The following is a 14,068-nucleotide window of genomic DNA, read 5'->3' on the forward strand; positions in this document are numbered from 1 at the left end:
CGGAGTCTCGGTCTGTCACCCAGGCTGGAGTGCAGTGGCGCGATCTCAGCTCCCTGCAAGCTCCACCTCCCAGGTTCACGCCATTCTCCTGTCTCAGCCCCCTGAGTAGCTGGGACTACAGGCGCCCACCACCACACCCGGCAAATTTTTTGTATTTTTAGTAGAGGTGGAGTTTTACCATGTTAGCCAGGATGGTCTTGATCTCCTGACCTTGTGATCCACCTGTCTCGGCCTCCCAAAGTGCTGGGATTATAGGCGTGAGCCACCGCGCCCGGCCTGAACTTTTGATGATATATTAATGTGATGAGCACGGGATCAGAGAACAGTGGAATAGACTTTACTGTCCATGACATTGATGAGGCACTTAAATTCTATACTACTGAATGACATCATTCATATTGGTATTAATTAGCTATGGGACCTTAAGCAAGTTACTTAAATTCTTTGTGACTCAGTTTTCTCATCTGTAAAATAGTGATCAGAGCTGTATCCACCTCAAGATTGTGAGAATTAAACACTTGTAAAGTGCCAAGAACATAACAGCAGTAATTAGCACATAGTAAGCATTCAATACTGTGTTATTTTTAGTTTTTATCAAAATTATTCATTCATATCATTTTTACAAGTCAAATATTTTTATAAGGTTTGCTAAGGAAAAAAAAGCAGGAGTTTTTACACCTTTTCTTCCCATTTTCATTTCCACAGGCAATCATTTCTACTCTTTTCTTTCAGGTAATGCTTTTGGTAGTTGATAACATACTTACATTGTTTTGAACATTATATATTGGCTTCCTGATATGGAAGGTGAAGATTTACCTAGCTCTCTTCTTTCTCCCTGCCTGCCTACACATGTACACGCTTCTGATTCCCATTATAGATTTACTGTAATTTTGATTATATCACTATTCAGCCTTTATAGTTATCATATATATACATGAGAATGCCTTCCAAAACCTGTGATCTGTTATCCTTTTCTTTTCAACTTTTTTCTTGCATTAATGGTAGTCTTGCTTTTTGTGTATTTGTATAGTTTTCTATGTAGTTATGACTAATTAAATCCCTTGCTATCTACCACATCTCCTCTTAAGAGCTTCAGAACCATCAGATATTCTGTCCATTTCATTTTCTTGGAGCACTGTCTTCCAGAGTCTTCTTGTCTGCTCCAATCTGGTGTTCTATGCCTGATGCATGGGGATCCCTTTCTGTGACCTCTTCATTGTAATCCAGCGGATTCCTTTACTTCTCTCTTTTGTGAACTCCTCACGTTCCTGCATCCTGGCCTTGCTCTTTCCTGACTGTTTTCTTATTTTGGTGGAGCATGTCCTACAATGTTTTCTTCAGAAAGATGCTTAGGAGGTAAATTTTTAAGACCTTAAATGTCTTCAATCATCTTTATTCCACCTTGGTATATGTAGGTTCTTCCAGTATGAAAACCTTGTTAGGAAATAATATTTTTTTTCAGAATCGTAGTGACATTGCATTACTGTCTTTTATCTTACAGTGTTCATTTTAAGAGTTCTGAATTTTTCTTCAGCTTTTATGTCGCTTTTTTTGTTGGATCTTTTTTTGAATGTTTTACAATTTCACAGTGATATTTTTCACTCATTTTACTGTCATTGTGTAGGGCTTTCAATCATGCCCTTCAGTTGTTGGACATTTTCTTGAATTGCTTTGTTAGTTATTTCTTCCTCTCCAGTTTTCTCATCTCTTTGGAATCCATATGATTTAGTTAACCTTCTGGACTCTTCCTCTAGTTTTCTTGTTTATTCCCTTATTTTCAATCTTTATGTTTGTTTTTTAGTCTAATATCTGGGAGATTTTATTAACTTCCAACCTGTCTATTGATTTTTTTTTTTTTTTTGAGATGGAGTTTTGCTCTTGTCACCCAGGCTGGTGTGCAATGGCACAATCTCAGTTCACTGCAACCTCTGCCTCCCAGGTTCAAGTGATTCTTCTGCCACAGCCTCCTGAGTAGCTGGGATTACAGGCGCGGGCCACCATGCCCAGCAAATTTTTGTATTTTTAGTAGAGACAAGGTTTCACCATATTGGCCAGGCTGGTCTCGAATTCCTGACTTCAGGTGATCTGCCCGCCTCAGCTTCCCAAAGTGCTGAGATTACAGGCATGAGCCACTGCGCCTGGCCTGTCTGTTGAATTTTCAGTATTGAAATATGACATATATCATAAACATACAGCTTGAAGAATTGCTGTAAACATATCTGTGTACCTAGCACCCTGGTCAAGAAATGAAACATATCAGCGTCCTAGAAGTGCTCCCTTCCAGTGTCTGCTTCCCCACAACAGTAAACACTCTCCTGACTTCTAAGGCCATAAATAGTTTTATGTGTGTTTGAATTAGACTTGTAAACTTGTAAGCTCCTAAAAGAAGTAATTTGTGTCTTCATCCTTCTTTGTATCCGTATATAGTGGCAAATGAGTATTTTTTGCCCCAAATCTGTTAAGTATTTGTTGTTCTTGAGGAGCTTGTACTATTCAGTTACATTGTGGCCACTGTTCAGTAACTCTTTGATTTCTGCAACTGCAGTCTCTGTTTAGTAATAGGATTCTTTTGATAGCAAATAATAATTCCAGACCCAAAGAGGCTTAATTTAAAAAGGTAAGGAATTCTCTCACTTCATCCTAAGAACTGGCGTCTCACTGGCTTCAAGTGGACCTTGTTCCAACAGTAATGATGTGATCAGTTTCAAATTTCTTCCCCTTCCTCTTTTGGCCATTCTAAAGCTCATGGCCCCCAAATGACTGCCCCCAGCTTTTGTGGCCACTCTCTCTTTCTTTTTCCTGAGCTTTGGGGAGGAGAGAAACTGGGTATTGGGTGTGTACTTTGAACTCTGGATCAAGCTTTACCTGAAGCTAGATGAACAAATAATGACCCTCTTTTGATTAACCCAGTTCGGTTCTGGTTTCTGTGTTATTTACAACGTAAGGGTTTCCTGTGAGTCTCCACAACTCTCTTTATACCTTCCTGAGGTTACCCAAGGAATTGAAACCTCTACTGTTAGAAGCTCTGGTTTGGAGAATATTGTTTGAGAAGTATCTCTGCTTCCTTACCTGATTTCATATTTTACTTCAGATAATATAGTGATTTTGAAGCTTTAGCTAATGGCCCGCATAGCAGTTTTTCTCTCCTTTTCATACTTTCAATTTTTCTCCCAAGTCCGTGAAACATGATGTAATGAGGTTCTCCTCTGTAATGTAAATATTTTTATCTTAAATTTTTTCCCCAAATGCTTAATCTGAAAGCTGACAGAGCCAGACATGATGTTGAAGGGCTTTAGATTTTTCTGTAAAGAGTTTTCAATATTTCACCTGAAATCCTAGAAAACTTATAATTAATTTTACAATTTATCTGTGTCAAGGGACTATGTTTGTCTTGAATTGCTTGTTTCGAGGCATCTGAGAGCGGCTTCTTGTTATAGATTCTGAGCTGGGAATGATTAGTTTGTTTTTTTTTCTCACCCCTTCAGACTTTTCTAAATTCTCCATTTTTTCAGACCATTCATTGCTCCGTGGCTGAGAAGGAGTATGTGCTGTGTCAGCAGCAAGCTTTTCTTGCAACCCGTCAAGGAAAGCATTTCTAAACTCTAGAACTCTGGCAGGGAGGCTTCTCCTTGGCTAATCTTTCTTTCCTAGTGATGTAGTCCATCAGCTGTGTTTCCTAAATGCTCTCTGGCTTATACAGTACCCATTTGTTGCTACGCTGGGAACGTGTCTAGAAAAAGTGTAGTAATTATGCACGAAGAAGCTGGTACCTTCTAGAGAGATCATTCTGAAAACAGATCTGACTGGTGAAAAAGGCTTTAGTGTCTGTCAGTAGTCTCAGTGTAAGTTCTAGATTCTTTCCTATGGTTCATAAACCCATGTCCTGGTCTCCACCCACCTCTCCAGGCTCTTCTCTTGCAAGTCCATGCCATTCATGTGACACTATTGCAGCTGGGAATTGATTGTGCTCTTATACACACACCATGCCATTTCCCTCCTAGAATGTGCCTTCCCTATGTCACACTTTCCCCTTTTGCCTTCTGTCTCCTTTCGTTCTACAAAATGGATTTCCCATCCCAGACATGGGAATGTCGAAGATCAGCACTGGACAGATGAGGCATCATTAGACTCCATGGTACCAGCTGGCCATCTACAACTTGTGAGTTTCTCCTGCCTCAAGATCTGTGACATGGATAGCAAGGGACCAGCCTTTTAAAGCTCCTCCAGGTGTGGAGTTAAGGAAACAGAGGAAGTAATCACAAGGGTGGGAATCTTCTTTTTTGAGATGGAGTCTTGCTCTGTCACCCAGGCTAGAGTGCAGTGGCACTATCTTGGCTTACTGCAACCTCTGCCTCCCAGGTTCAAGTGATTCTCCTGCCTCAGCCTTCTGAGTAGCTGGGATTACAGGCATGTGCCACCACACCCGGCTAATTTTTGTATTTTTAGTAGAGACGGGATTTCACCATGTTGGCCAGGCTGGTCTTGAACTCCTGACTTCAAGTGGTCTGCCTGCCTCAGCCTCCCAAAGTGCTGGGATTACAAGTGTGAACCACCACACCAAGCTGAGAATCTTTTGTATCTTAGCTCTTGGCTAAGGAAATAGAAAGTAGAGAATAAGAAATAGGGCTGTTTTTAACAAAAAATTAGCCACGTGTGGTGGCACATGCCTGTAATCCCCACCACTCAGGAGGCTGAGACAGGAGAATCACTTGGACCTGGGAGGTGGAGGTTGCAGTGAGCCAAGATCACGACACTGCACTCCAGCCTGGGCAACAGAGCGAGACTCTAGTCTCAAAAAGAAAGAAAGAGGGCTATTTAAATGTATGGTGATGATGAATATGTACTGAACCTGTGAGGGAAGTTCTTGACATACACTATTATGTATGTTATTAAATATGGTACAAAATTTTTTGTGATATATTTTATTTGAGTATCACTGTAATCTCTACTGTCATACTCTGGCTTCTGTCTTTGTTTCCTGTAGAGCCGTGGTTATAATTAGAAATGTAAACAAAGTATTTTGTGCTTTATTAAATAGAATTTTTTCTCAAAAACTAGCTGGCATAAAACATTGAATGGGTTAATTTTGGGGGGAAGTTTTGGACAATTTAAACTTGACTTTTAAACTTAACAGTCTTTTGTATGTTGTCACATCTTCTACTTATTTAACAGTTTGGTTAGTGGGAGCTGGGAGCTGGGAGTGCACCAAACACACTGAGGTACTTAAAATCTTTTCAATTTTATTGAGGCTTAAAGGCAAGTAAGAACCTGTTGCCTCTGCTTGTTGCCAAAATAACATGGGGCAAGAGTAATCAGTTACAGTTGCTATAGGTAATTACAAGTTGATTTCACTGAGAAGTAAGAACACTATATTTAACAATAAAAAGTTTATCAGACGTGAAACTTTCCTCCTCCCTACACAGCCTAAGGAGGGGAAAAACTCTCACCAAACTATCATTTTACTGAGCAGATTTCAAAGGTGTTGGATTTTTGGGAGACATCGAGAAAGACTAATTGCAATTATTGTCTCTAATTGTCTTTATTGATGCCAGCTTGAGAAGAGTACCAGGATGAAAGTTAGAAGGGAAAGTAGTCAAGCAGACTGTTACCCTATGAAGATTCCCACTTATTAGACTGTCCACACGCAGTGGCATTAAAACTTCATAAAAACTGTTCCTTACAGTTTGAAAATTATTTTTTTCAAGTCATTATAATTGGTTTTCTTTTTTTTTATTTATTTATTTATTTATTTATTTATTTATTTATTTATTTATTTTAAGGTGCAGTGTCACTATGTCACCAGGCTGGAGTGCAGTGGCGCGATCTCGGCTCACTGCAACCTCTGCCTCCTGGATTCAAGCGATTCTCCTGCCTCAGCCTCCTGAGTAGCTGGGATTACAGGCACGCACCACCACACCCAGCTAATTTTTGCATTTTTAGTAGAGATGGGGTTTCACCATGTTGGCCAGGATGGTCTCAATCTCCTGACCTCGTGATCCACCCACCTCAGCCTCCCAATGTGCTGGGATTACAGGTGTGAGCCACCACACCTGGGCCTTTTTATTTCTTTTTAATTTTGTGTGGACTTCAATGGTAGAAGTTATAGTTGATTTGACCAGAAAGGGACATGTGAAAAACCTTCCTAAAATATTTCCTTTTTTTTTCTTGTGCTGTTTGCTCTATCTGTAATCATTAGTGCCCCCCTAGAATGAAGCAGCCAAGTCTTGGGTTATCACAAATATAAACATAATTTTTATATCATATTCTTTTGCTAAGGTGATCTGGATATCAATTAATTTAGCATTAATTATTATACTGTATGCTGTCATTAGTCATGTTACATTATTAGGTATTAGTCACATTACATCATAATTATTTTATGCAGCCTCAACTTCTTTACTAAAATGTGCAGTAGACATCAGATCACAAATATCAAGACTTTCGAACAGGTGTTGGCAAATTTTTTTTGTAAAGGGCCAGAAACAAGTACTTTTGGCTTTGTGGGTTTTATAGTCTGTGTCTTATCTACTCAACCTTGCTGTCTGTGTGAAAGCAGCCATTTATGTAAATGAATGGGCATGACTGTGTTCTAGTTAAACTTTATTTTGCAAAAGCAGGTCACGGGACTGATTTGCCTGTGATCTCTGCAACCCAGCTCTTGAGTAAGGGTCACAGACTTTGCTGTGGTTAGGCAGGTACCTCAAATGAGTAAAGTGAAGTGGCTGTGGGGACTGCGACTAGCAAAGGTCACGTCCTTGTCTAAAATGGGCAGCTACTTCTTCCCTATAGCCACTGTGACTGGCTCAGTGATACCAGATCTTGTAATTCAAGGGTAGCTGGGAATTTGGATTTTTAGGCAAAGTCCTTTTATCAGTTGGCAACTCATTTAGATTTGTTAAGGAAATATGGTTGAGGTCAAGCTACACACCTTCGTGAGTTCTTTTCTGGTCCATGAACTCCAGTTTAGCAAATTCTGGTATTTTCAAGTGTAACAGTATATTATGTATGAATAAGAAGTGCCTGTAGAATGTCATCAGACATCGATAGCAACTATCTAATGCTGGTGCTGCCACTCACTAACCCTTGTAGTGCCCATGACAGACATCAGTAATTGATCATAACACTCTTTCCTGCTGAGCTAGGAGAAAGTTTCAGATTTCTTCTCCACTAGGGCTCTAAAAAGCCGCAACCAGCCAATCAGTCATGTCCCCTGATATAAAGGTATTTATCATTCTCATTCTAGAAGGTTTATAAAAAATGTTTTTTTAATTAACCTAGGAAATGGCTTTGGACTTTTATTGTTATTCTGTTAAAAAAACCTAATTAAAAGATGTTCTTAATTAAAAAGTACTGGAGAAAACATGTATTAGAATGGCAGGTATGAAAAAAGGTAAGATACTGTTAATATGGCAGTGTTAGATTTCAGACCAAACTTAGGGGAAAGAGTATCCAAAGTCAGATGTATCCTTAAAAGTCACTTAGCAGCATTCCTTCCTTGCAGAGACCATGAACTTGGCTTTCTGATGTGTTCATTTTCACCATGCCTAGTGCAAATTAATGTGAATGAATAGTTACAAAGGGGAGTTTCTTTTTTTCCTTCCTTTCACTGCCTTTGACCCTTCTGCACATTTGGCGGTAGAGTACGACATTCAGAATTTAGGGATTCTGTGTGTGCCATCTGGGATGCATGTATTTTTTAAATTGTTTATGTGATATATACATGATACAGCCCAGGGAAAACATGCTTTATTGTGCATTTTGAAAGCTTTGCATCTTTTTGTCTTCCTGCATTACTTCTCATTTTACCCTCTGCCAGTCTAAACACTGTTGTCTTTCACGTTTGACCTTCTCTAAGAGTTCTGCTCTAGTTCTGTCGTTGAACCTCTCTCCTCTCTAAACTTCTTTAGTACTGAGGACTGTACTAGTTTAGCAGCAATGCCATGCTTTCTTATGTCCTTTGGTTGTAAATTTGAGGCATTTTTGTTTTTTTCTTCCAAATTAACATTTTCTTTCCCTGCCATCTAGCACAAGGACTGTGAATGGAGTGAACTAAAAGAACATTTTGTTTAAGCAAGCCATGGTGTTCATTGAATGCCTTCTCTGTGCCAGTCACTAGGGCTATAATTGTGGATGAAATAGAAAAACAGACTCTGCCCTGGAAGATCAGAGTCTAGTACAGCAGTTTAAAGTGTGATGGAATTTCAATTTAAAATGTCCCCTTCATGGTAATCAGTGATGCACATTTACAGCTCCACTAAAAGGAGAAGCTCCAGTGGGGCATAGCTCTTTGTTTCAGTCACTGACATATCCCACATGCCTGGTGCAATGACCAGTAAATAGTAAGTGCTCAATAAATAATTATTAAATTAACTTTTAAAAGTTTTTATGTAGAGTTATTCCTGCAGGGCTGTGATTATAGGCAAATCATAGTGTGTATACCTTCTACCTTTTTTAGTGTATCTCCCACTCTTGTACCCCAGAAAAACTAGTCTTGAGTATCCTTCCAGAAATGTTGTATTCCAGTCTTGTGTATCCTTCCAGAAGTATTATAAATATTATATTATTATCCTTCCAGAAAAATCAGTCTTGAGTATCCTTCCAGAAATACTATATGTGCTTGATATTTATTTATTTATATTTATTTTGAGGCAGGGCCTCACTCTGTTGCCCAGAATGGAGTGCACTGGTGCTATCACAACTCACTGCAGCCTCCACCTCCCAGGCTCCAGCAATCCTCCCACCTCAGCCTCCTGAGTAGCTGGAGCCACAGGCACGTGCCACCATGCCCCACTCATTTCTTTTACTTTTTGTAGAGGTAGGGTTTCACCATGTTGTCCTGGCTGGCCTCGAACTTCTGAGCTCAAGCAATCTTCCTCCCTTGGCCTCCCAAAGTGCTGGGATTAGAGGTGTGAGCCACTGCGCCCAGTCTGTACTTTGTTTTCTATATGAGTATAGCCTATTTATTTTTTTCTCTGAAAATATATTAGATAGTTCCATATCTGTATATAGTCATATTATTTTTGGTGACTACATAGTATTTTATTGTCTGGAGAGATCATAATTTATTTAACCAGAAACCTACTGATGAACATTTGAGTAATTTCTGATCTTTTGCTCTTACAAGCAATACTACAATAAATATACTTGCTCAACAGTCATTTTACAACCCCTGAATGTAGGACTTTTAGTATACATTCTTAAAAGTGTAATTTCTATAAGAGTCAAAGAGCTTATGCGTTTGTAATTTTGATAGTATTGCCAAATTGTCCTCTACAGAGAGTGTGAGTGTGCCATTTTACTGTACTCTTACTAACACTGTGTTGTTTTCAAACTGATGTTTTCTGTTTTGATAGGTGAAAAAATTTCTCTCTTTTGGCTTTAACATGCATTTCTTTTATGTGAATAAATTGGAACATATTTTTATATGTTTATGAGCTAGTTTTATTTCCTTTTATGTATTGTGCCTTTATAACATGCTCAGTTTTAAATTTGTCTATTGGCCTTTATCTTACTGATGTATAGTTGCTCTTTATATATTTAGAAAAACATTCCTTGGCTGTTCTTGCTTGTTTATATTTCCATGTGTATTATAGAAACAGCTTTTCTAGTTACTAACCCCATTCATCTAAAAAATGATCCCTTTGGTCTTTTTATTTATATTATGTCCAATTTCTAGATGAATTTAGAAAGTACTGACATTTCTGTGATGTTCAGTCTTATTTCCTAAGAACATAATTTCTCTTTACATCTGTTTTTTATTTTTAAAAAGTAATTTTTTTTTTTAATAGAGATGGGGGTCTTGATTTCTTGCCCAGGCTGGTCTTGAATGCCCGACTTTAAGTGATCTACCACCTTGGTCTCCCAAAGTGCTGGGATTATAGGCGTGAGCCTCTACACCTGGCCTATTTAAGGTTTCTTGATGAAAAAATTAATGACATGTTAAAAATAACCTAGAATATCTTTTTAAAAATATGACATAAAGGGAAGATATATTTCATTTAATATTCATATTTTATTAAAATATCAATTCTTTCTAAAATAACAATTATAAAATTCAGAAGCTTAGATTAAACATTTCCTTTCTGATCATTTTCTTCTCTTTTGGCAGGCCCTGAAGAGGAAAGTGAGGATGACTCTCATCTCGAAGGCAGGGATCCTGATATTTGGCATGTTGGTTTTAAGATCTCATGGGACATAGAGACACCTGGTTTGGCGATACCCCTTCACCAAGGAGACTGCTATTTCATGCTTGGTAATCTTTGGAAAATCAAAATTATATTGAAACTCTAGTGTCTAAATTTAGATTATAGGATTTATATTTTGAGTATGTCTTATGAAATAAACTTTTGGAGTATTTTATATTAAGAGCGAAACTTCTTTATAAGAACATGTAACTAGGTTTTTCTTTTTTGAGATATTGCTGATTTTTTGAGATGGAGCTTCACTCTTGTTGCCCAGGCTGGAGTGCAGTGGCACAATCTCTGCTCATTGCCGTTTCCACCTCCTGGATTCAAGCAATTCTCCTTCCTCAGCCTCCCAAGTAGCTGGGATTACAGGCACACACCAACACACCCAGTTAATATTTTGTATTTTTAGTAGAGATGGGTTTCACCACGTTGGCCAAGCTGGTCTCAAACTCCTGACCTCAGGTGATCCACCTGCCTCGGTCCCCCAAAGTGCTGAGATTTACAGGACCATGCCCGGCCCAATTAAAAGTTGTTTTTCTTTTTATTCTACATAGATGCAGAGTTCCTCAAATATGCTAAACAATTTTCTGGATTCTTTATCAGAGATATTAAATCATCCAAGTCAAATTATAACTTTAAAAAATACTTTCCTGTCCGTATTAGTTTTTAGTAGTGAGAGTTTTTTTTTTTTTTCTTCTAGTTTTGAATGTTGTTTCTTCTCAGGAACAGCTGACCTGACAATGGGGCCTTTCTCTCGACTTGTCATTTAGTTCTTTGGGAAGCAGTTTCTCAGTTGTGGTTAGGCCAACTGAAGCTGTGGAGTTTGTGAGGCTTTGTTTTTTTCTTCTTTGCTGTAAGTTTTTAATTTTATTTTTGGACTTTCTACTTGTTTTCTAATGCGCAATGTGTAAACAGTATCATTTTTTACTCACAAAGCTTCTCAGGGTTTATTCTCTACTTGGCTCTTGTTCCTGATTATTTGGGGTTTATCTCACTCCTATCTACCTGGAGAAATCTACTCATATGTTGCTTTTGGAGCCAGGAAGAACCAGGGCTGAAGCCCAGTATTTATGATAACAGTTGATTCCCAGTTAATTGGGTATTTTAGAGTCTACTATGTTCCAGGTACTGTGTAAGGTTCCAGGGGAGATATTGGAGGTGGATGAATCTTGGTTCTTGCCTTTTGGGAATTCGGAGTACAGAATAGCTCTTTAGGCCATTCTGCCACTAAGCATTTTCCAAATTTTAGCTCATTGCCTATGAACTTCAAGGTTTTGGTCACAATCATGTACTTCTGCCTAAATAAAGTAACTTTTAATCTTTCACTGAATTGAATTTATTTTAAAAGGAGATTTTACATCACTATCTTAAATGGGAATCCAGTATCACTAGGTATAATTAGAAGGGCTTTAGAAATATAAATATAGAGAAACCAAAACAGTACTAAGGGCCTGCTACTTTTGTTTGCCGGAGATCCTGAGTCTGAGTCCTATTCTGTGTTTGTTAAAAGAGGAGATTAGTAACAGAGAGGTGTTAACTGTATAGTGGTACCAGTCTGAGACTTTCTCCTTAATGTCTGCAGGAGGATTGGGAGATCATTATGTAGGGTCTCTTTCAAATAGTGTGATTTAATGGCACTTAATGTGATGTCCCTTTACCTCTTAAATTCTTCTCATGGGGAGATTCCTGCATTTCTTGAACACTGATCTAAGTATGCCCTTCATCTCTTGCCTTCCATGTGAACATTGCTTTGCAGTTTACACATCAGTTTCACACAAGCAGCCCCAATCTCCTGTCAGCTTTGTGAGGGAGATGGCAGAGATTGTTCTTTTTTTAAGTGATCTTCCTAAAGTCACTTAGTTATGAGGTAGAACAGGGACCAGAATGGGTGGCAGGCATCTTATGCAGTGCTTTTCCTACTCTAAATGGGGCTATTTCAACCTGATCCCAATATACTGAAATCTCTATGTGGGAATGTTTTCAGTGTTAAGGTTCTCTCTTCCCCACTGTCTCTCCTGCCTGATCTCAGGAAGTAAGTTTATTTTTTAAAGTCCCTACCCCATCATTGAGTGTCATTTGTAGGTAAACATTGTTTCATTTTTTTTTGTACCACGCAAATACAGATATTTGGCCTGAGTCTTAATAGATGTTAGTATCAGCCAGTAAATCACTTTCCTTTGGATACTTTGTTCAGAAGTTTCTATTAGCAATGTATATCTTTCAAAGAAATAAGAGCCAGAATGTTATCTTTTAAAATAGCTTTTACTTTTTAAAAATATAAAAGTGGCTGGGTGCTATGGCTCACACCTCTAATCCCAGCACTTTGGGAGGCCGAGGCAGGTGGATCACCTGAGGTCAGGAGTTCAAGACCAGCCTGGCCAACTTGATGAAACCCCCCGTCTCCACTAAAAATAAAAAATTAGCTGGGTGTGGTGGCACGTGCCTGTAATCCCAGCTACTGGGGAGGCTGAGGCATGAGAATTGCTTGAACCCGGGAGGTGGAAGTTGCAGGGAGCTGAGATTGCACCACTGCACTCCGGCTTGAGCAACAGAGCAAGACTCAGTCTCAAAAAAAAAAAAAAAAAAAAAGTAAATAAGTACTCTAAAAATTCAGCTATATTCCATATATTTAATAACATCTTGTGTGTTCTTTTCTGATTAAAAAAGCAATATGTGCTTATTTGAGAGAAAAGAAACTCTGGAAAAAAGAGTCTGAAATGAAGAAAGAATATAAAAATCAGGTTAATGCCTGATTTAATATATTTCTTTTCAGTCTTTTTCTGTATATGTATGTCTGGAATTATAGTAGTAATATGAATAAAACCAGATTTACTGGGAATTAATGACAAACATTCTTTTAATCTTCTCAGCAATCCTGAGAAACAAATATTAGCTATACTGCAAAAGAGGAAATTGAGGTTAAATTTATGTAGTTACTTAACCGTGGCTGCACAGCTAGTAAGAAGCATGGATTGTATCTTGTCATCTTATCCCACTCGGGGTCTGACATCCCATGTCAGGCCAGCCCTCCTTCTCCCGTAGGGATGCCCTCCTCACCCTACTCAGCGCTGAACGCTGCTCAGGGTTCCTGTGCCTTCTTCTTCCCACCTGGCATGATGCCTCCGCCTCACCTAATGGCTTTAAGACTAAATTGTTCAGGAAGGGAAGAAAAGAAGTTAATGATATTCTGTTTGTTTCTTTTCTGTTCTTCTTAAGGTTATGGGTTTCTCAGGGTTTAAGAACTGGATTATAGGCCAGGCGCAGTGGCTCACACCTGTAATCCCTGCACTTTGGGAGGCTGAGGTGGGCGGATCACCTGAGGTCAAGAGTTTGAGACCAGCCTGGCCAACATGGTGGGACCCTGTCACTACTAAAAATACAAAAATTAGCCGGGTGTGGTGGTGGATGCCTGTAATCCCAGCTACTCTGGAAGCTGAGGCAGGAGAACTACTTGAACCCGGGAGGCAGAGGTTGCAATGAGCCGAGATCACGCCATTGCACTCCAGTCTGGGCAAGAAGAGGGAAATTCCATCTCAAAAAAAAAAAAAGCGCTGTATTTTAATGAAAATATTAAATAATGACATTATTCATTGGATTTTGGTGTTATAATGAGTATACACTGTAAAATATACATTGGGTCCCTTGAGCTATTGTACATGATAAACAGAAGAAGTTAGCATTATTTTATAGGAGCTGATATCCAAGACATAATATAAAATCTACTCTTGATTTCCCATGTCTTATTTTTAGATGTAGGTGATATAGTTGGTATCCTACTGAACTGTGCCAAACACAGCACAATATATCCCAAAGTCTGCACTTAGAATATATATTTTTATTAGGATTTATTATTTTTATTTTATTTGATTTCTGAAATGAAT

The 14,068-nt window shown here is 38.6% G+C and overlaps 1 protein-coding gene across 25 annotated transcripts in view; it reads left to right on the forward strand.

The window, feature by feature from the left end:
• Nucleotides 1–14,068, forward strand: part of FTO (FTO alpha-ketoglutarate dependent dioxygenase) — a 417,979-nt gene that overhangs the window by 130,084 nt on the left and 273,827 nt on the right. For 23 of the 25 annotated variants that reach the window (XR_007064911.1, NR_156761.2, XM_047434606.1 and 20 more), the window contains one exon: nt 10,109–10,252. The exons of the other annotated variants lie outside the window; for them this stretch is intronic. Coding sequence is in view for 21 of the 23 variants with exons in the window: in XM_047434606.1 (XP_047290562.1) it covers nt 10,109–10,252 (144 nt within the window). In the remaining 2 variants the exon portion in view is untranslated. The remainder of the gene's footprint in view (nt 1–10,108; nt 10,253–14,068) is intronic. 25 annotated transcript variants of the gene reach the window in all.

This window comes from Homo sapiens, chromosome 16, assembly GCF_000001405.40.
Source record: "Homo sapiens chromosome 16, GRCh38.p14 Primary Assembly".
NCBI lineage: Eukaryota > Metazoa > Chordata > Mammalia > Primates > Hominidae > Homo > Homo sapiens.